Source organism: Homo sapiens, chromosome 5, assembly GCF_000001405.40.
Source record: "Homo sapiens chromosome 5, GRCh38.p14 Primary Assembly".
In the NCBI taxonomy this organism is placed as follows: domain Eukaryota; kingdom Metazoa; phylum Chordata; class Mammalia; order Primates; family Hominidae; genus Homo; species Homo sapiens.
This window is the reverse complement of record NC_000005.10, coordinates 93,227,382-93,249,724: the sequence shown is the minus strand read 5'-3', so window position 1 is coordinate 93,249,724 and position 22,343 is coordinate 93,227,382. Positions and strand designations below refer to the sequence as shown.

Genomic DNA, 22,343 nt, shown 5'->3' with positions numbered 1-22,343 from the left:
GTGACTGAGAACAAAGGCTGCCTTCAGCTAGGAATGATTCGCTACTGTGGTAAAAAATACTTTCTTTTTTCCTCCAAAATGACTTTGAATCATAAAGATTTAATAAATAGCCTTCCTTATTCAGGAAATAAAAGTGAAAGGATAGCATAGAGAAAGGGTTATTTAAAGAAACTGATTTTGATAAACATTTATAAAATAATGGTATACAAAGGCTTGACAATATCACAGTATGAACTTGTAATTTCAGGAGGAAGATCTGTCCCCAACAATTCTCAAGCATGTCATCATAACTTATTGCTCCTGAATTCCTCAGCTTCCATCAGACAATAACACAATCTGATCAATCTTATCACTAAATACTGGGTGCCAGTTTGAACAAAATTAGGGTGAATTATTTAAAAGGTGATGTGACTATAATCTAACAGGTATCTTAAAATACCCTGTGTGGCTCATCAACCTGCTTATTCCAGTGAGTTAATAAAGAAATTTTATAGTACATCTCTAGAAAACAGAAACATCTATCTTAATTTTTCAATTATTAAATTATAAACATCAAACTTTTTTCTAAAAGATTTGTTTTCCTAACACTCTATATTGTTTATGTCCTTGGGAAGCAAATAAGAATTAGAAACAGGATTGGAAAGTAATTTGTGCTGAACTAACCCAGAGATGGTAGTGAAACACCCCCACCTCTCCCTTCCTCTGGCCTATCTAGGAAATTGGCCTGGTATCTACCAAGGTAGCACTGAAAATGTAGATAAATAACCCAGAAGCCCAGAATGGTTATTCTTGGTGCCAATTCACTGAAGCTCTGTTGGACAAAATTTTAAAGAAATTCAATTGTTAGACTGTGGACACATTTAGCCGTTCCTTCTAGATACGAAGAGTATTCTATTTTAAGAATACTCTTAAAAAAGAATATCTAATATATTTAATACTGTATTTTAAAATTAAGTTGTCACTAAAGAATACGTTTTTTGAATGCAAGAAAATAATTCATAGTGAAGAATAATTATATACTGAATACAATGCTCTGAAACTATTTGAATATTAAGCTTATCATTATTAATATTATTTAGAGTCCATAGGAATTTGTCACAATCTATTCTTTGTTCTATTTTAACCTCACAATGTTTTCCCTAGAAGAATTTTAGAAATAGCATATCAACAGGCTTGCTTTTAAGTGGTTTAGTCAGACTTGTCTTTCATAAACTTAATAGTTTCTAAATATTTCCAGGTTTGGCTGTCTGAATAGACATAATATTGTCAGCATAATTATGAATACTTTTAGAAATACTGTGTCAACAAGGTCTTGGATATTTTTTAACATGCCTCTATTAACTGCTTTAAAACACATAAAATTCTAAAAAGAATTTAAAAATTAACTAAAATTAATGGCCAATCCGTCTAGTACTAGTTTTATACCTACCATTTATTGAGGGCTTACTATATGCCAGGCACTTTTTCAGTATTATATGTGTATTATTTGGTTTAATCCTCAACATAATCCAATGAGAAAGTTAGCATTATTAGATTCATTTCTCTAGAAGAGGAAACAGAGCTGGAGACAGGATATGTAACTTGTGCAAAGGCATGTAACTGGTAAGTAGAAGTAAGTATAAAAACCTAGGTAGCCTGATACTGTGTTCTTTGCACTTTTATTCTGTTTACTTCTCCTTGTTAATATTGACTCAAAGGTATGTTAATATATGAAACTTTTTGAAAAAAATGTAGGAGTAAAACTCAGTGATAGGAAAAATAAAAATGGCTTTGTAATCCAATGATCATGGTTTAAATTTGAAGCTTAAATTTGAAGCTTGGTAACAGTGTGGGAATACATTGCACCTTCCTAAACAGAGCCACAGAATATGCCATTTTCGTGCGGGAATGCTAAGTAAGAGACACAGAAGTAAGCGACTCAACAGTTCCATAGACAATGGGAACGTTATATTTTTTCTCCTGCATATTAATGAGATTTCTATGTTAGAACAAAATAACATAATACATTTAATTAAAATCCTGACATACTGATACCAAAGCTAATATTATATACTGAAATTATTTTTTAAAATAGATTTTTTTTTTGAGAAATGAAAACATGGCTTTTTTGGAAAAATACTTATTGGAGTTTCACTTTTTGATTAAACTAATAAATAAATTCCATGATGAAAATTACTTTGATAAAACTGACCTAAGATGTAATTTGAAGAATTAAAAACTGTATGAATTATGAGTTTTCCAATAAGAATTTTATTTTGACCTAAATGATATCCAATAGATCAAGTTAAACCTTGGTACGTTTTTAACATAACAGAAGCACCTTGGCCTCTCAGCTGGTGTCAGACAAGAAATACTTTGTGAGGAGCCTTTATCTAACAGAGTTAGGCTACTGCAGTTGCCTGAGGTCTCCTTGGTCTACTCGTGACTCTCTACTACTGGCAAAGATAAAAGCACAAAAAGTGGAAGTTTCTTCTGAACAGACTATTTTCATTTGTAGACTTCATAAATGTCAGGAAGTAAGAGCAGAGGCAACTCATATCCCTGATTCTTTTTTAGTAATAACATGCAGCAACTAAAATCCTGCTAAAATTTTTGTCAAAAATGAGAAAACATGTATCGTTTCTCACATTTGTTCTTGGGGAAAAGCAATTATTATTTTGTTATTAGAACCTGTAAAATAAAATATCGGTGAAATCCATGTATACAAATCGGTGCAAAACAACACAAAATTTGCATAAATGTCCCATCAACGGGAACAAACTTCTCACAATTTCAAATTCACTTTCTTCAGTGAATTTTATCTTTCCTATCAGATCTAAATGGTCATGCTTGGGAGAATTTATTTTACACATATATGCACACATACATACAACAGAGAGTGGTTTGGGATTTTAATTAATAAAATGACCAAGGCCAGCAATTACTATTTTATTTAGCATTTTACTTCAATCAAGTACTATTTGTGTTTTCTACTCACTTCTGTATAGACCACAGTAAACATGTGGAAGGCATTTTGCATGGCAAGTTTGTGTACTGCAATTTTTGAGCAATGCAAACATCCCCCTTAAATAAACGAAAACAGATCCCAGAAAGGGTATGCTTCCAACACATTCCCCAAAGATCTGAGTGCCGCTGTGCATTCTTGCTCAATTTAAACAAACTAAACTTCAGTTAGTCTCCCCTCCCCTAATGGGCACCCCCACTGGGAACATTGTTAGGTTACCACCATGGACAAGGCCTCAGTACAGCTGGATATGTAAACAAGACCATAATCCGCATGAAAGAACTCTCAGAGTTTTGGCAGCACTCACAGTGTTGTTAACATATTGTGCCAAAGCAATAACAAAGCCATCATTTTTAAGTTTGTTCACGGATTTGTATTAATCAAGAAATTTTCCAGAAATTACTTCTAAATGAGGAAACTTCCAGAAAGTTACCATTTGGCAAGAAGGCTTCCAGATGCCTTTTTTTGCTTATCTGCAACATATTTTTCCAAATAAATTACAAGTTTGTGGACGTTCAGTTGAGACAGAAAACACATTGCTGCTGTGTTGGCGGAAGGAGGCTCTCTTCAGTTCATTCCCTGCCTCATCAAAGCCTGGCTAGTGCTTAGATCATTTTTTCTTGTTAAGGAGGAGGTGGCCAGGCCATCTAACTTAGTATTCTGGCAGTAAATATTAAGTATTGATATTTGAATCAGAAAAGCATTGATTAGATTACAGTTAGAACTGCAAACTAAGCACTTAGGAAAAGACCAAGAGAAGGCTGCCGGACCTTTGTTAAAATTTAGTTTTTGGTTTTTATTCGCATATTAGGTGACTGATCTCTCAAATCCAGTGTTTTTCAATGTAAACTCTATTTTCAAAAATTGTGCAGAAGCAAGGCTTCTGTGAACAACTGTGACTGCTCTGTAGGAAAAAAGAGGCAGGGATAACAGTACAATTAAAGATGGCTAGTAGGACAAACCTAAAAGTTTCATTCTTCAACACTGTATCCTTCTTTAAATATTTACAGTAGTTTTTAAATGTGGTTTTTAAAATCCTGGGCAAAATAAACTTTTAAAGTGTGCTTAATATTTAAAATACATGTGCCTTACAGAGGGCACATGTGTGGCTCCAGTGATGGTTGCTGTATGTGGGCTCACAGACTTTGTGTTGAGAGTTGAAGATTCATGAGTGGGTTTTTCACCAGTGGTCTTGGAAATTATGGGTCACTTCAGGAGATCCAGGTCAGTCCACCAAAAGCTAATCCAAGCTCGAATGGCCAAAGTGGCCCACGCAACTGGGCAAGCATGTCTGGCTTAGCTTCAAGTCTGCCCAGGAGTCTTCAGGATCCAAGCCAAAAGAAGTCGCTTGCCTCAGGTTTTGATTGTATTTAATCATTTATTCATGCTTATGATACCCTCTGGATGACACTTTTATCATAACAAAGGAAACTCTTCAAAATAATAACTAATAGTAAATAAGCTCTTTCTCCAGCTGAAGACCACCCCTAACTCCCAAACTAATCTGAACTAAATACATCTTTGTTTCTTTTCATGGTGCATTGTTTTAAGCCCCAATATAGTATGTTTATATTCTGCCTTGTTTTAAAGTTACTTGTGTTCACTTCTTACCTTTCCTTTGACAAATGTACTGTTCCTGGCTGTCTCCCCAAGTATCAAATATGGGGCTTTGCACATAGTGGACTTTGTATGGATGCTTATTTAACTGGTTTGAGAGTATTTGCTGTTTCTGAAAACAAAACTCCTTCTCCAAACACACAGCACTTGGAAGATACTTTAACTTATTGAGACTACCAATGTTCTACTGGGTCAATTTCTGCTTCATTTGGGTTCGTGATACCCCAGCACCCTCCTAGAAAACTATTTTACTTACTTACGGAGGGATCTTCTAGTATATGATGAGTAACAGGAATTGTAAAGATATGAAACAATAACAGAATCATAGCTTCAATTTCAAAGTTTATAATTGTTATTCAAGAAACAAAAAGGCTAGGTGAAGTCTTCATGAGCTTTTTGAGAATTAGCATTCTTTTCACAAAAGACATAGACTTGACTTTTTCTGGGTATCTGACTGTGCATTAGCTTGGTTTATCTCTGACGTGTTGATGCTGATTATTTTTTCTGTGTATGCAGTTGCTTCTCTAAGCAATATTTACTTAGTCTCTACCTTTGAATTAACTCCTCTTTGAGGGGTCCATTGCTATATGAAATTGAACTCACACACCTAATTCCACAAGACAGCCTTCACATGAGAAAAATACTCTTGTTTCTGCTATTTCTGAACCTGTGATGCGGTGGCTTTTTCTATTTATTTACTTACTTATTTCGCTTTTCTTTCCTATTACCAGCCAAATCACTTTACTCATGTGGCTGTATGGGCTTAAATCACCCAGAATCAGTTTTTCCAAATATTTCAAAAATTTGACTGAAGGCGAAGTAAATCAGTAATCTGGAAGTTACTCTCTCTTTTGTATTAACAGAGACTTAGCTTCAGCACCAAAGCCAATGATAAATAAATTAAAATATTATTTCCGGCAATAGGAGTTATCTTTAAAAAGGGATTTCTTTAATTACATCCTTGAAAGGAATCATATTTAATTTCTACCAGAAGCTACATCAAGGTGCATTCCAAGGGTGAATTCAAGAAACATACTGGAAAGAAAAATAGCTGGACACACATAGCAAATATGATCTAAATTCTACTAGCTGAATATTCTCAAAGCTGTGTGGATCAGGGGGCCCTTGTTGAAGATCCAGAGGAAGGATTCCCTGTCAGTGGGGAAGGCTAGTGTGATGGCAGCTTGTCATTTAAGGTTTGAATCACAAAGCCTTTAGGGTTGCCTCAGCCATTTTTAGGTAAGATCTATTATTTACTAGAAAGAGAGATAAGAAAATAAATAAGCATTGCTCACAGTCAACCAATGTTAAAGAAGTTCTTCCCAGTAAACAACAGTTTGCAAAAGGTGTGAAGGTCTCTAGTTGTTTTTCATGTATTCAAAAAGCAAAAATGAGTCCTGAAAAGCTGAAAACTTTGACACAGTGATGTCAATTAGCAGAGGAAATGGCAACTTCCCATCTTAGTTATTTTTACACTCCTGGCATCCAGTATCCCTTCACAATTTCTACTTAAAAAATGCTTCCTGGAGTTTTGCTTTAAAAGTGATAACGCAATGAAACAAATATTTGTCTACTTACTCTATCCACAATTTCAGGATAAATGTAAAAGATGGCCACTTTCTATAATATGTTACTGATTACACTGTTTGATGAAAGTTCTAAGGGGATTCAAGATTCTAATAGAAATGTCAAATTATAGAGGGAAATTAAAGTGGCAATTGTGGACAGTAAGTAGGAATAGTGGCAGGGATTGCAAACAGAAAAAGGGGGCTGCTCTAGGTGACAAAGTAAAAGTGTTGTGATGAGAAAACACACACACAATACCACACACACAATACCACATACACACTATGAAAACTATCAGTCCCTTAATCTCGCCAAAGGAAGATGAAATTTCTGTAGGCCAGGGAGGGAGGAGTCACTGAAGGAATGGATATTTAACAGAACTAACAAAACGGCAGGTTATCTTTTGTTGGGGGAAGGAAAGGCATTTAACTAGAAATTTGGAAGAAAGTTAGATTGATTTGTTGTTTATGTTATGTATTTTTTAATCAGTATGATAACTTGCAGAGTGATCTGGAAACACAAGTTCCTAATAAAGTATTTCTGTGATCACTCTCTTAGCTTAATAGCGTGCTCATTTTAATTAATTAACTGATTATTCAGTTAATACCTGCTATGTGTTCGGTACTATATTTGGGCAATAATTGGTCAAAACAGAGAAGGTCTCTGCTTTTATGGAATCTATATTCTGTTGGGGAGTAAATAATAAATAAGAAAATTCTATTTAATTATAAATTATAATAAGTGCTAGTTTCATAACCTCTGATCTAACTCTCATAAGCTATAAACCAAGTAGTGCTTAATCTTGTGTGTGCCAAGTTCTTTTCCTCATTTATTGTTATTTAACATTTATTCAGCATTCATGAGCACTGTGTTAAAATGCTTTGTGCATTATTTAATTCTCACAATTAATTTAAGGGATATGTACTATTGTATATACAATATATAGTACAGTTAAATAATGTTCCCAAGGATATACTGCTAATTGGAATAGGGACTGGATTCAAATCTAGGACTATTAGTCTGTAGAGCTTTTGCTCTTAATAGCTTTGCTGTACCATCTCTCCGATAGGAGGATAAGAGCTAGAATTCAATATGTTAATATTTCTAATGAGTTGACACTTCGTCATATATATTTAAATCTATGAACAAGCACAAGGAATTAGTCAAGGGAAGAGAATTTCTCCACCCAGGGTCATCCTTACTGTATTATTTCTCTTGTCATACAGCTGGGCTGTTGAATGTTGCTATTGAAAATCACAAAACTGTTCCGACTGGGATCCGTACAGAGTCATGCTTTCTAATTTTGTGGCTGCTCACAATTCTTTTGCTGACACCCTATCACATTTCCTACAGCAGCATTTCCACCCCATCCTCCATCTCAGCAAAAGCCTTTACTTCCGATTTGACTGAGATTAGTGTTTGTAAATGCACACTGTTGGGGGAACCCTCTTCCTAGTCCTTGTTTCCATGTTTCCCAGGAATGAACACTAGTGGAGCAGCACTTCCCATTTCCCCCCACTCTTTACTCTTATCCCCCATAAGAGTAACCCTTACTCTAATATCGTGCTATTTTAACTCATTAAAATGAGTTTAGTTAGTGATTTTAAAATGAGTGATTTAGCTACTTGTTGGTACTGGGAAAATCTGACGTCCATAGGTCCACATTCTTTTATAGGGCAGGTTGGATGTTTCAATTCACTGTTCCCTTTGGTTGCAACTTCCTCTATGTCTTCCAGAGTAGCCTGTTCTCAGAGTAAATGTATTATCTTCTTGCCTGCACATGACAACTTACTGGGGCAGGCACAGCACCACAAAACATCTGTTTATTCAGCGTGTATCAGCACTGGCAAAATACATCCATGCAACATTTACTCTCTGGCACTTACTGAGCAAGGCTCCGAGACGTGTACAGAAATGTCTAGGACCATTCTGGCCCTCAAAGATTTTACATACTGATTGGCAAATTAAGGCAAATAACTATAAAATAAAGCCTATAAAAAATAAAATGTGCATGTTTCTAAAAGTAGTGTAAACTACAATATGTGTAATTCTAGAGAAATATAAATAAGAGATGATCAAAAGGAGAGGTCACTTTCAATGGGATGATCAGAAAAATATTCCAAGTTCCATAATCTGAACTTTACAAACATCTTTGATTTTATACATCACCACTCCTTTATGAGAACAGGAAATAGTGTCTTCTATGTTTCAATTAATTCTCACAATAATGCTATGAGGAGGTATGTTTATGTCAATTTTATAAACACAAGGCCACCTAAGAAATTAAATTTTGAGAAGTTAAATGAGTTACTGAAAATCACATGGTTAGTAACTGGTAGAAAAGGAAAGCCCAAGTTTACCTATTTCGATGTCCATATTCTTTTCTTAAAACCAGACCACTTTCCAAACTGTCTGGTGTAGGATAAGAACACTGGGTAAGATTGAGAAGGCCAGGGTTTGAGTCCTGGGCCCACTGTGTCCTAGATGTGTGATCTTGGACACTTCATCTCTCTTTAGTTTCTTTATTTTCATCTTCAGTTTCTTTATTTGTGAGAGACAGAGACAAAAATCCCTGCTGACTCCAAGAACTTTGGAAAAGTTAAGATAAGATAGGGCACCTGTTTGCTAGTATTTTGAACCAGAACTTTTTTTTAGCTAGGAACTGTGTAGGTAACTATACCCTTCTTTCAAAAGCATGAAAGTAGATTGGGATCCTTGGAACCAGACTGTGAGATGGGAAGTTGCATGCACAAGCTGAAGTTTTATTGGAGAGTGGTTTTGGAAGATAACTTAAAAAGAAGTAATCAGTGAAGTACTGGATAGAGTGAGAAGCTGAAGTGTGGCTGCAAGTGAGGTCTCCATAGATCTTAGCAGGAGCTCTGAGGTTAAATGGGCCTTCAGAGTTGACTCAAATTGAAACAAAGGCGCCTGGGCCTCTATTTCCCTGAATAAACTAATCATTGCCTGTGGGTTTCCCCTTGGGAGGGGCTGTAATCCTGTGCAGCTGCAGGCAATCACCCATGAGGGGTATAGAAGTTGATATTGATAGTCCCAGCAGCTTGAAATGGGTGCATTAGTCCCGAAGAGGCTGGGTGGGTCACTGTAGGAACCACTACAACAACGTAAAACACTTAGAGCCGCATCACTTTCATCATGCTCTCTCTCAGTGCTTGTGCCTGCATCTGAGGCCTTCTAACATTATAGTACACACCATTCATTTGGCAATTTTTTCCCCACCTAAACTGTGGTTACAGGGTCCGATCTTACATCTTTGAGTTTTCAGGGTCAAGGAGAGTACTGACTATAGGTAGAAGCAGTTCAGTTGATGTTTGTTATTGGTGGTGTTAATGGTGATGATAATATGCCAACTACACTGCTGAGTACTGAGGGATCTGGAAAAGAAGATTAAGGCATGATCCGTTTTATTTGACAAATATATTAATCATAGATCAAAACTAAGTGATATGAAAGAAGTACTACAATAAACAAAGTAACTGACACTCAAATAAGACCTCAAGATATTTGCGTAGAGCAGATGAATGAATGAATTGGATAAGAGGACAATCAGGAACAACAATGACTGCAGGCTGGGAAGTGAAGGATTGTTGAAGATGGTAGTCTTGAGCTTGGCCTTGAAGTATGGGTGGCATGGAAATTAGAGGAAGGTTGAAAGAGAATGCAGTGGGGTTGATAGGGGAATATTTTCAGGCAGGAAAATCTCAGACATGAGAGCAGATTTGGGTAATCACAGGGGCATGTGAGGACACTTACTTGCTTGGGGTGAAGTGTATGGGGGTGTGAACTGCAGGAAGCAAGACTCAATAGGGAGATTGGAATAGATTGGGAAGGGCTAGAGGAGTTGACGACACTGAATCATGATGGAGCCCTGAGTTGGGGAGTGAAAATAGAAAAATGTATTTTAAGAAGTGCAGTGCTCAGAAAGGAGTGGAGGAAAAATCAATTAGAGGCAGAGAGACCAGAAAGGAGGTTGCAGCAGCATTTAAATATAAGTGATGAAAGCCAGAACAAGGGTGGTTGAAGTTGAAATGAAGAATAAAGGTAGAGTTTATCTCCAGGAAGGAAAGATAGGACTTAATAACACACTGATGTTTATCACTTCTTTATTCCTCAAATCCAAGGATGTTGCTAAAGATCAGTCAAAAAGAAACTTTGAGTTTCTGAAGTATTTATTATCTTAAAAAATACCATTATCCACAATGTCTATGATCCTAAAAACATTAAGACGTACCTATATAACACAATCTGAATGACTACTTTGACTGGACTGACCAGGTTAGTTAACTCCTAACCCAATCACTTCACTCAAACAATGAGCCAATTAGTATCTGCCGTCTGTATAACATTTCTCAGCGTAATTTAAAATGTGAACACACTTGGCAAAGTGGTCAGTTAATAATGACTCAATTTCACAGAAACATTTAAGCCGATTGTTTAGCATTTGTATATATGTAAATGTTACACACACACACACACACACACACACACACACGACCAAAGTTAGGTCACTAATTTCCTGATTTAATTTTGCAGTGACTTCCTGGTACCATATGACCTGGGTTAAAAGAGCATATTCTTTGTAAATGCAGAAACGGATATATGATGTATATATACATCATGGCATGTATCATGAGTATGAAAATTTTGGCACTATTTTAGACGTCCAAAGTATATTAGACTAAATTCATTTTTGCCTTGTCTTTCATTTTTCCTGGATATGGTTTGGATCTGTGTCCCTGCTCAAATCTCATGTTTAATTGTATTCTTCAGTGTTGGAGGTGGGGCCGTGTGAGAGGTGATTGGCTCATGGAGTTGGTTTCTAATGGTTTAACACCATCCCACTGGGTGCTGTTCTCATGATATTGAGTGAGTGCTCATGAGATCTGGTTGTTTATAAGTGTATGGCACCTTCCTCCATTCTCCCTTCTGCTCCAGCCACATAAGACGTGCCTGCTTCTCCTTCACCTACCACCATAATTGAAAGTTTCCTGAGGCCTGCCCAGAAGTCATCATGCTTCCTGTACAGCTTGTGGAACTGCAAGCCAATTAAACCTCTGTTCTTTACAAATTACCCAGTTTAAGATATTTCTTTATAACAGTGCGAGAACAGACCAATACATTCCTATTTTAAATTGCTGCATAATTTAATGGAAACAAAGCATATGAGTCTACTTAAACAGTGACTATTCTGAATGAACCCTTAATTTGGAGCAATGTAAAATTCAAAATCCATTCTTTTTATATTTTTACACATTTTAAATGTAAATGTCTGCACACATTAATTTATTCTTTACTTTTTATATTACTGATTTATTACATCACTATGTATATAAAAATAACATATTTAAAATTTATTATATGTGTGGAAAAATACAACCTTTGAGATTAGTTTTTGCTCATGTATATTGCTTCTTTTAATGCTTTCAATTCACTTCCCATTTTATACTGTTAGGCAGACATTTTGGAAACAAGATGCCTAGTTTTCATTCTTTACGATTTTTGATGTCTCTGTGTTTTATTTTTTGTAAAAGATACCAGCCATTATGTTGGGCTACATATTAAAGTTAAGTTTTTGTTGGGCATGGTGGCTCACATCTATAATCCTAGCACTTTGGGAGGTCGAGGTGGGCAGATTGCTTGAGCCCAGGAGTTTGAGACCAGCCTGGGAAACATGGTGAGACCCCATCTCTACAAAAAATACAAAAATTATCTGGGCACAGTTGCATATGCCTGTGGTCTCAGCTACTCAGGAGGCTGAGGCAAGAGGATGGCTTGAGCCCAGGAGTTCGAGGCTACAGTGAGCCGTGATGGTGTTACTGCACTGTAGCCTGGGTGACAGAGTGAGACCCTGTCTCCACTAAAATAAAAATAAAATAAAATAAAATAAAATAAAATAAAATAAAATAAAATAAAGCTTTTTATTTTGAGATAACTGTAAGATTCACATGCAACTGTGAGAAATAATATAGAGAGTTCTTGCCTACTTTTTACCCATTTCTCTCAATAATATCTTGCAAAGCTATAACATATAATATCACAACCAGGGCATTGACATTGATATACAATAGTCCTTCCTTTATCCTTGGCTTTGCTTTCCACAGTTTCAGTTACCTGTGGCTAACCATGGTCTGAAAATATTAAATGGAAAATTTCAGAAATAAACAATTTATAAGTTTTAAATTTTGCACCGTTTTGAGTAGCGTGATGAAATCTCTTGCTATTCCATTCCAACCTGCCCAGGACATGAATCATCCCTTTGTATATGCTATCTACCTTAGTCACTTAGTAGCTATCTTGGTCATCACATCAACTGTAGTGGTATCACAGTGCTCGCATTCAAATAACCCTTATTTTACTTACTAATGGCCCCAAGGCACAAGAGTAGTGAGGCTGGCATATTGTAATTGTTCTATTTTATTATGTTATTGTTAACTTCTTACTGTGTCTAATTTAGAAATTAAACTTTACCCTAGCTGTGTATGTTTTGAACTATCCATGGTGTCAGACATCCACTAGGTGTCTTGGAATGCATTCCCCGAGCACAAGAAGGGACTACTGTAGTCAAGGTATAGAACATTTTCATGACCACAAGGATCCCTCATTTGGCTCTTTTGTAGCCACACTAACTTCTCTTCTGCTTCCTCCCCTCTTCTCTTTTCCCCCAAAATGGCTAGTGATGTTGAACATTTTCTCATGTGCTTATCTGCCATCTGTATATTATCTTTGGTGAAAGCGCTCTTCATGTCTTTCACCCCTTTTTGAATTAGATTGCTTGGATTTTTACTATTGAGTTTTAAGGGCTTTTAAAATATATTCTGAACATGATTTGTTTGTTGGATATGTAGTTTTTAAATATTTTCTCCCATTCTGTAACTTGTATCTTAATAGAATCTCTTGCACAGTAAAACTTTTTAATTTTCATAGTATCCAGTTTACCAATTTTTCCTTTTATGGATCATATTTTTAGTGTCAAGTCTGAGAACTCCTTAGTGAATCCTAGATCCCAAAGATTTCCTTCTGTATTTTTCTAAAAGTTTTATAGCTAAGAATTTTGCATATAAGTCTATAATACAGGTCAGATTAGTTTTTCTGTAAGATGTGAAGTTTATGTCACAGTTTTTTTGCCTCTGGTGGTCCAACTGCTCTACCACCTATTGAAAAGTCTGGCTTTTCTACACTGAATATCTTTTGGCTTTTTATCAAAAATCAGTTGAGCATTTATATGTGGGCTATTTCTGAGTTCTCCATTCTGTTGCATTGATCTCTGTGTTTATCTCTTTAGCAATACCACACCATAGCTGTGTGGTAAAACTTAGTATTCAGCAGAATCATGTCTCCCACTTTATTATTCTTTGTCAAGATTGTCTTAGCAATTCCAGTTTCTATTTTTCCCATAAACATTTTAGAATTATCAGTGTATACATCTATAAAACATTCTTGCTGAGATATTAGTAGGAACCAATTTGGGGAGAACTGATACATTTACTATTTGGTCTTCTAATCCGTGAACATGGAATGTCTCTCCATTTATTTAGACATTGTTTGATTAGTGTTGTGTCATTTTGAGTATACAAGTCCTGTAAATATTTTGTAGATTTATATCTATTTCATTTTTGAGCAATTGCAAATAGTATCATATTTCTAACTGCAGTGGTCACACATTGATTTCTGGCATATAGAAATACAATTTATTTTTCTGTATTTATTTTGTGTCCCATGACCTTGATGAACTCATTTATTACTTTTAGGAGTTTCTTTCTTTCCTCCTCCTCCTCCTCCTCCTCCTCCTCTTCTTCCTTCTCCTCCTTCTCTTTCTTCTTCTTCTCCTTCTCCTTCTCCTCCTCCTCCTCCTCCTCCCCCTTCTTCTTCTTCTTCTTCTTCTAAGATTCTTTGGTATTGTTTATGTAGACAAGCATGTCATCTGCAAATAAAGGCATTTTAATTTCCTTCTTTAGACTCTATAAGTATTCTATTTCCTTTTCTACCTTAATGCATTGGTTAGAATCTCCAGCATTATGTTGAATAACAGCGGTAAAAAGAGCCATGCTTGGCTTGTTCCCAATATTAAGGAACATTAGTCAGTCTTTTACCATTAAGTATGTTCTTGTAGGTGTCTTATAGGTGCTTTTTATCAAGTTCAGAAATTTCCCTGTGATCCCTATTTTTCTGTCAGTTCTTATTGTGAATTGGTGTTAAATTTTGTCAAATTCTTTTTGTGCATTGATTGATATGATCATATGAATTTTTCTTTAGCTTGTTAATGTAATGGATTACATTGGATTTTTTTCAAATTTTGGACTTTGCATCTTCAGCATAAACCCCACTTGGTCATGCTGTGTAATTTGTTTCATATATTGCTAAACTCTATTTGCTAATATTTGGTGAAGGATTTAATATGTATAGTCATGAAGCATATTGGTCCATCATTTTCTTTGTTTAGTACCTCTTTGGTTTTGGTATTAGGGTATTCTAGCTTAATATAAAGAATCAAGAAATGTTTAATCTTCTTTTGTTTTCTAGAATAGATTGTGTAGATTGTAGTTAATTCTTTTTTCCCCTAGTCATTTAAAAAATGTCTTATTAAAAAATTCATTGCAGTAAGAACACTTAACATGGAATCAACCTTATAACAAATTTTAAATATATAATACAGTATTGTTTACTATAGATACAGCAGATCTCTAGAACTTATTCATCTTTCTTAACTGAAACTTTATGCCTGTTGATTGGTAACTCCCCTTTTATTCCTCCCCCATCCCTTGGCAACCACCATGTTACCCTTTAATTCTATGAATTTCACTTTTTAGATTTCAGATGACTATTCTCATATAACTAGGATTCCAGTTATATACTTCCAATGCAATATTTGTCCTTCTGTGACTGTCTTATTTTATTTATCGTTGTGTTCCCCTGGTTCATCCATGTTGCTGAAATTGACAGAATTTCCTTCTTTTTAAAGGCTGAATAATATCCATTGCATGTATGTATCTCATTTTCTTTATCCAATAATCTGTTCATAATCATCTTGGCTTTTGTAAATAGTGCTGCAGTAAACATGGAACTGCTGATATCTCTTTAATGACAAGATTTCAATTCTTTTTGATAAATATTTGACAGTGGGATTTTGGGATCATATGGTAGTTCTGTTTTTAAGTTTTCTAGGAACTTTGATACTGTTTTCCACAGTGGCTGCATTATTTTGGATTCCCACAAGCCAAATACAAGGATTCTAATTTCCCTACCTCCTCACCAACACTTTCTCTCTCTTTTTTTTTTTATAGTAACCATCTTGACAGGTATGAGGTGATATCTCATTTGTAGTTTTGTGCATTTTGCTGATGATTGGTGATGTTGAATACCTTTTCATATGTCTGTTGGCCATTGGTATGCCTTCCTTGGAGAAATGTGTATATGCCTATTCAAATCCTTTACCTAGTTTTTAGGACTTTGTTTTTGTTTGTTTGTTTTTTGTTATTGGGTTGTAGGAGTATTCCTTATATATTTTAGAAATTAACCCCTTATCTGATATATGGCTTGCAAATATTTTCTCCCATTCTGTAGGTTGCCTGTTTATTCTGTTGATTGTTTCCATTTCCGCACAGAGCTTTTTAGTGTGATGTAATTCCACTTGTCTACTTTTAGTGTTCTAACCATAAATTCATTGCCAAGAACAATGTTATGAAGATTTCCCCTGTTTTCTTCTAGGAGTTTTATATTTTCTGGGATTACATTTAAGTCTTTAATCCATTTAAGTTGATTTTTATATATGGTATAAGATAAGGGTCCAGTTTCGTTCTTTGTATGTGGATATCCAGTTTTCCCAATACCATTTATTGAAGAGGCTATCTGTTCCCTATCGTGTATTCTTGGCACCTTTTCAAAGATCAGTTGACCACATCTGTGTGGATTTATTTCTCAGCTCTATCCTGTTCTATTGGAGTATATGTTGTTCTTTATGCTAGTACTATACTGTTTTAATTACTATCACTTTGTAATACATTTTGAAATCAGGAAATGTGATTTTCCAGCTTTGTTTTTCTTAAGATTTGTTGGGCTATTTGGGGTCTTATGTGGCTCCATATCAACTTTAGATTATTTTTCCATTTCTGTAAAAAGTGCCATTGGGATTCTGACAGAGTTTGTATTGAATTTGTAGATTTCTTTGGGTAGTGTAGAAATTTTAACAGTATTACATCTTCCAATTTATGAAGTGGGTATGTATTTCCATTTGCTTGTGTCTGTTTAATTTCTTTCATCAGTATTTTGTGTTTTCAGTGTACAAATCTTTCATCTCCTTGATTAAATTTATTACTAAGTATTTTTTTTTGGTACTATTGAAAGTGAGATTGTTTTCCTAATTTTCTTTTCAGATAGTTCATTGTTATTGCATAAAAATGTAACTGATTTTTGTATGTTGATTTTGTATTCTGCAATTTTACTAAATTTATTAGTTCTAACAGTTTCTTAATTGAGTCTTTATGATATTCTCTATATAAAATCATAGCATTGGCAAACAAGGACAATTTTACTTCTTCCTTTCTGATTTGGATACCTTTTATTTCTTTTTCTTGCCTAATTACTCTGCTAGGACTTCCAGTGCCTGTTAACTAGAAGTGGTGAGAATGGGCATCTTTGCCTTGTTCCTGATCTGAGAGGAAAACTTGTCAGGTTTTCTACTTTGAGTATAATATTAGCTGTGGTACTTATTATGTTGAGATACTTTCCTTCTGTTTCTAGTTTGTCCCATTTCCTTCTGTGGATTTGGGAAGTATTCATCCATTATTTTTTTGAATAAGCTTTTTGATACTTTCTCATTTCCTTCATTTCCTTCTATAAGGTGTGTATTGGTCCACTTGATGGTCTCCATAAGCCCCTTAAGCTTTCTTTACTTTTTCCTTCTCTGATTGAAGAATTTCCAATGACTTGCCTTTGAGTTCACCAATCCTTTCTTCTGCTTTATCTAGTATGTTGTGGAACTCCTGTAGTGAATTTTTCAGTCCAGTTATTGTATTCCTCAGTTCTATGATTTGTTTGACACTTTTTAATGTTTACTATGGCTTTGTTGAAATTCTCACTTTGTTCATGCATGACCTCGTTTTCCCAACCTTGGTGAGCATCTTTACGATGGTTAGTTTGAAATATTTGTCAGGAATTTGGAACATATTTGCCTATTTCTTCATTTTCTTTGACTCTCTATGCTAGCGTTTATGCATTAGACAAAGTGATCTCTTCTCTCAGATTTCATGAATTGGCCTTGTGCAGGAAAAGACCCTCACCAATCAGCCTGGTCAGGGACTCTGTGGGCCCCCAAGCCTTCATTTTGGTCCAACTTGCTTTCTATGTTCTTTTCAGTACCAGGGTGTCTAGGGTATGCCTTGTCCTGTCAGTCACTGGAACAGGTAAGATAGAGGCCAGTTCTTTTGGCAGCCCTTGAAAAAGTTGAGGCATTAGATACACAGACCAATTATTTCCCTTTCCAGGGAGGATGTTAGTGGCTGTTTTTTGCTTTTTGTTTTGTTTTGTTTTTTGTCTGTTTGCTCTGTGCTGAGCTGGGGAAGGCTATGGTTACTACTAGCCCAAGTTGCAGTCTCTGTTCTCCCCCATTGTAGCTAGCTTATGCTGGACCTGTGAGTGATCTGAGACAGGCAAGACAGAATCCAGTTCCTTGTATAGCTTCTGCAGAAATTAGGATATTGAACATGCAGACCAACTCTTTCCTTCCCTTCAGAGAAGCTGGAAACTTGTGCATCACTTATGAATTTAAGGTGCTCTGCCAGGGATAGGAATTCTGGTGACAGGGTACCCAAATATCTGTACTAGCTTTGATAAGTCTAGTTTCATGTTCATCTGGGGTGCAGGAGCCTTACAATTAGTCTCTGGATTTCTCACAATATGAATTTGTCCAGAAATGGTTGCTGAATTGGTATATTCATTAGGTGAAGGAGGATTCAGGGCTTCCTGTTCTACCATCTTACTGACATCAGCTCTCTATTAATTCTTCTTTAGAAGTTTGGTAGGATTCTCCAGTGAAACCATATGAACTGCAAGAACTGGTGGTAGGGGACAGTCTTTAGATTACAGATTAATAGTTATAGGACTATTCAAATGGTCTGTTTCATATTGGATAAGCTGTAGTAGTTTGTGGTTTTTAAGAAATTGAATTATTTTATCTAAGTTGTCAAATTTATGTGTGTAGAGTTGTTCATAGTATTTCCTTAACCTTTTGATGTTTCCAGAGTTTTTAGTGATATCCTTTGCTTAATTTCTGATACTGGTAATTTTTCTCTTTTTCTTTTTCTCTCTTTATTAGAGGCTAGTCAGTTTTATTAAAGTTTTATAAGAAATAGCTCTTTGTTTCATTGGTTGTCTCTATTTTTTTTCTGCTTTTCATTTTCATTCATCTGCTCTTATTTTGAAGATGTACTTCCTTCTGCCTGATTTGTTTATTTTGCACTTCTTTCTCTAGGTTCCTGAGGTAGTAGTTTAGATTGTTTGAGACTTACTCTTTTCTAATATAACAATTTCGTGCTATAACATTTTCTTTTAGCCTTGCTTTAGCTGTACTCACAAATTTTGATATGTGTATTTTCATTGTCATTCAGGTCAGTGTATTTTTTGACTTCCCCGAGAATTCCTCTTTGACCCATGGGTTATTAGAAATTATGTTGTTTAGTTTCAAAGTGTTTGAAGATTTTCCTGTCTTCTTTCTGTTATTTATATCTACTTTGAGTCCATTATGGTGGGAAAATACACTCTATTTTTTCGATTTGTTGAAGTCTGTTTTACAGTCCAGAGTATGGTCTATCCTGGTATATAATCCACAGTCACTTGAAAAGAATGAGTGTTCAGCTGTTATTGGACGAAGTGTCCAGAAAATGTGAATTAGATCCTTTTGACTGATGATGTTGTTCAGTCTTTCTATATCCTTGTTGATGTTCTGTCTACTTCTGTCAGTCATTCTACAGGGACGTTGAGGTATCCAGCCTTATTTGGATTTGTCTATTACTCTTTTCAGTTTTACCAGTTTTTGCTCCACATATTTTGTAGCTCTGTTATTTGGTACATACACATTTAGGATTGCTATATATTTTATGTGGATTTACCTTTTTTATCATTAGATAATATTCCTCATAGTCTCTGGTCATTTTCTTTGCTCTGAAGTTGACTTTGTCTGATATTAAGTAGCTACTCCTGCTTTCCTTTGGTTAATGTTGGCATATCTATCTTTTTTGATCTTTTACTTTTAACTTACTTGTATCATTATATTTACAGTGAGTTGCTTTTAGACAACATATAGTTTGCTTATGTTTTTCAATCAACTCTTCCAATCTCTGTCTTTTCACAGGTATATTTAGAAAATTTATACTTAATGTAATTATTGATATATTTGGGCTTAAGTCTGCTATTTTAGTTTTTGTTTTGTTTGGTCTCTCAGGTTTCATTTTACTTTTTTCTTTTTCTTGTTGTCCTGTGGATTACTTGAGTGTTTTTTATAATTCCATTTTGATTTATCTGTAGTGTTTTTGAATGTATAAATTTTTTTAATGATTGCTTTTGTTATTATATTATATGCACATAATTTATTATAGTCTATTAGTTTCACAATTTTACCAGTTAAATGAAGTATAGAAATCTCATCTTTCTTTAAATCCCTTCCTCCTCCTTTTATTATATAATTGTCTTAAGTATTTCTTCTATATACATTTAGAACCGCATCAGAAAGTGTTATAATTTTTGCTTCAACTGTCAACCATAATTTAGAAAAAGCAACAGATGATGCATATTTTTTTCTTCTTTAGATTTCATACTTGTTTCTCCTTCCACCATAGACTACTCTTTATTTAAGTTACTATTCTAAATTTCTTTTCAAGATCTGTAAGCCTTACTGCTTTCCCTTGCTACAAGCCACTACTTATCAGATGAACTTATTTCAAAGCAAGTTATATCAAAACTCTACTCCATTTGCTTCTGGAAGAAAACGAAATTTAATTATCATATTTCATACATACGTAATAGAGATAATAAAATCATGAAATGTAAAAAGAAGATGTAAAAATGAACATTCACAATAAATTCAAAGAGGTTTAAGACACACATTTGATGTGTACACTGATCTACAGTGAGATCTTGAAATTGTCACGTAATATCAGTATTGCAAAATAAATGAAGACAGTGTTTTCATCTTACACTAATTTTTAACAAAAGATAGGCCCAAATAAAAGCCAACTGAACCTATGCCAGTCCCCAGGCATGTGTACAAGGAATTGCACTGCATGAAAAAACAAAACCACAGTAAATAACATGGTTGAAACATACAGATGCTTCAGATGAGTGCGGTTTTTATTTTGAATAAAAAGCTAATGATACTTTCATTAATATGACTTCACACCTCATATTTTTGCCAAATCTACATTCTCCAAATATGATTTTTGTTATGATTTTTAATTTTTAATTATTTCTTATTTTACTGCCTATTTTGCTGTGAACCTCAATACAAATTATAAATCTTATTGTTTTAAAGCACTCTAGTTTTATACAATAAAGGCAAGTTTTAAAAATTGGCTTAGACTTTGTATCCTCAAAGTTGTGTGGGATAATAATCATTTGATTGTAGAGTTTGATTAGAGAACCTCTGGGAGTTGTTCCTTCCTTTCTGGCCTTTGATGTGGTAGACTTTGTCTCTTTGGAAGCACTTTTTACATTACATCTTAATTTATTGACATGCCTCTTTCTCTCATGAGAATGCAAGCTTCTGGAAGGTAGGGATTAAACTTAAATGCTTGTTAGCTGAAATAATTTATTCCTAGAAGGGATGATTTTTTATTGCAAAGTTCATAACTTTTTTATAAATATTATAAACAACTTTTTAAATAGATGACCAATGTTTTTATAAATTAATATGGTAATTTCAGAGAAAATGAATCTGTTGTAGCTAGTGGCAGAAATATTACTGTATTATAATTTATAAAGTAGAAATGAAATATAATATTTATCTATTTAGTAACTGGTGTGTATTTGACATCTTCTTCAGGTCCTGAAGTTTACTGGTCTCTGTGGGAATGGGAAGATAGTATAAAGGCTAATTCTTTCCTCTAAGGAGTCCCTACTCTAGTTAGGAAGATAAGAACAATATATAAAACAATTTGACTAAATCTAAGCTTGTATAAAATGTGGGCCTAAAACAAGGTGGTACAGAATATATACATGAGAGTTTCAAAGTTGGCATAGATCACACAGGGCTGGAGCATCAGGGATTTTCTGCAACAGGTGAAACTTGAGTAGGGTCCTGAACTATGGGGTATGGTTTGAGTAGATGAAGGGAAAGCACCACTGGTTTTGGTAGAATGAGAAATTTCTGGAAGAAGGAGATTTTAAATAGGAAATACATTTTTAAATTACAGAGCGGAAAGACAAGGTCTAAAGAACCAATAAATCTTGAGATTTGTGCTTCTTCTCTGTCATGTGGTGAAGACAAACAAGATGTCTCAGAGGAATGATGGGTGACATAAATAATGAAAGAGATATCTTAGGCAGTGAGTGGTCTGGATAATGGCTGTCCCAGCCTGATGAGCCATCTTCCGAAATCTCAGTAGTTAGTAGAAACTCAATGACTGAAGACTAAAGCTTGTAAATATGATAGGATATCCAGGGGCTTCTGGGAGAAAGGAAGATCAGTAGGTGGAGCCTTAGGCCTGGGTTCCTAATTAGGCCAAGGTGCCCAACTAGACATAAGGGCGGTGGCCCAAACCTTTAACCACTGAACTCATTAAGAAAAAAACTGGCCTGGCGTGGTGGTTCATTCCTGTAATACCAGCACTTTGGGAGGCTGAGGTGGGTGGATCACCTGAGGTCAGAAGTTCAAGACCAGCCTGGCCAACATGGTGAAACCCTGTCTCTACTAAAATTACAAAAATTAGCTGGATGTGATGGTGCACACCTGTAATATCCCAGCTACTCAGGAGCCTGAGTCAGTAGAATCACTTGAACCCAGGAGGCGAAGGTTATAGTGAGCTGAGATCATGCTATTGCACTCCAGCCTGGATGACAGAGTGAGACTCTGTCTCAAAAACAAAAAAAACAAAGAAACAAAAAAACAAACAAACAAAAAAAACGGAAAAACAACTTTGGGTTAAAGATT

At 35.0% G+C, this 22,343-nt stretch overlaps 1 annotated feature.

Annotated features, from left to right (window-relative positions):
* Window positions 2,924-3,429: an enhancer, noted in NCBI's record as "NANOG hESC enhancer chr5:92582002-92582507 (GRCh37/hg19 assembly coordinates)". NCBI's record gives its function as "activates a minimal SCP1, AML or CMV promoter by ChIP-STARR-seq in naive H9 embryonic stem cells {active_cell/tissue: H9 hESC(naive)}" and the evidence as "EXISTENCE:reporter gene assay evidence [ECO:0000049][PMID:30033119]".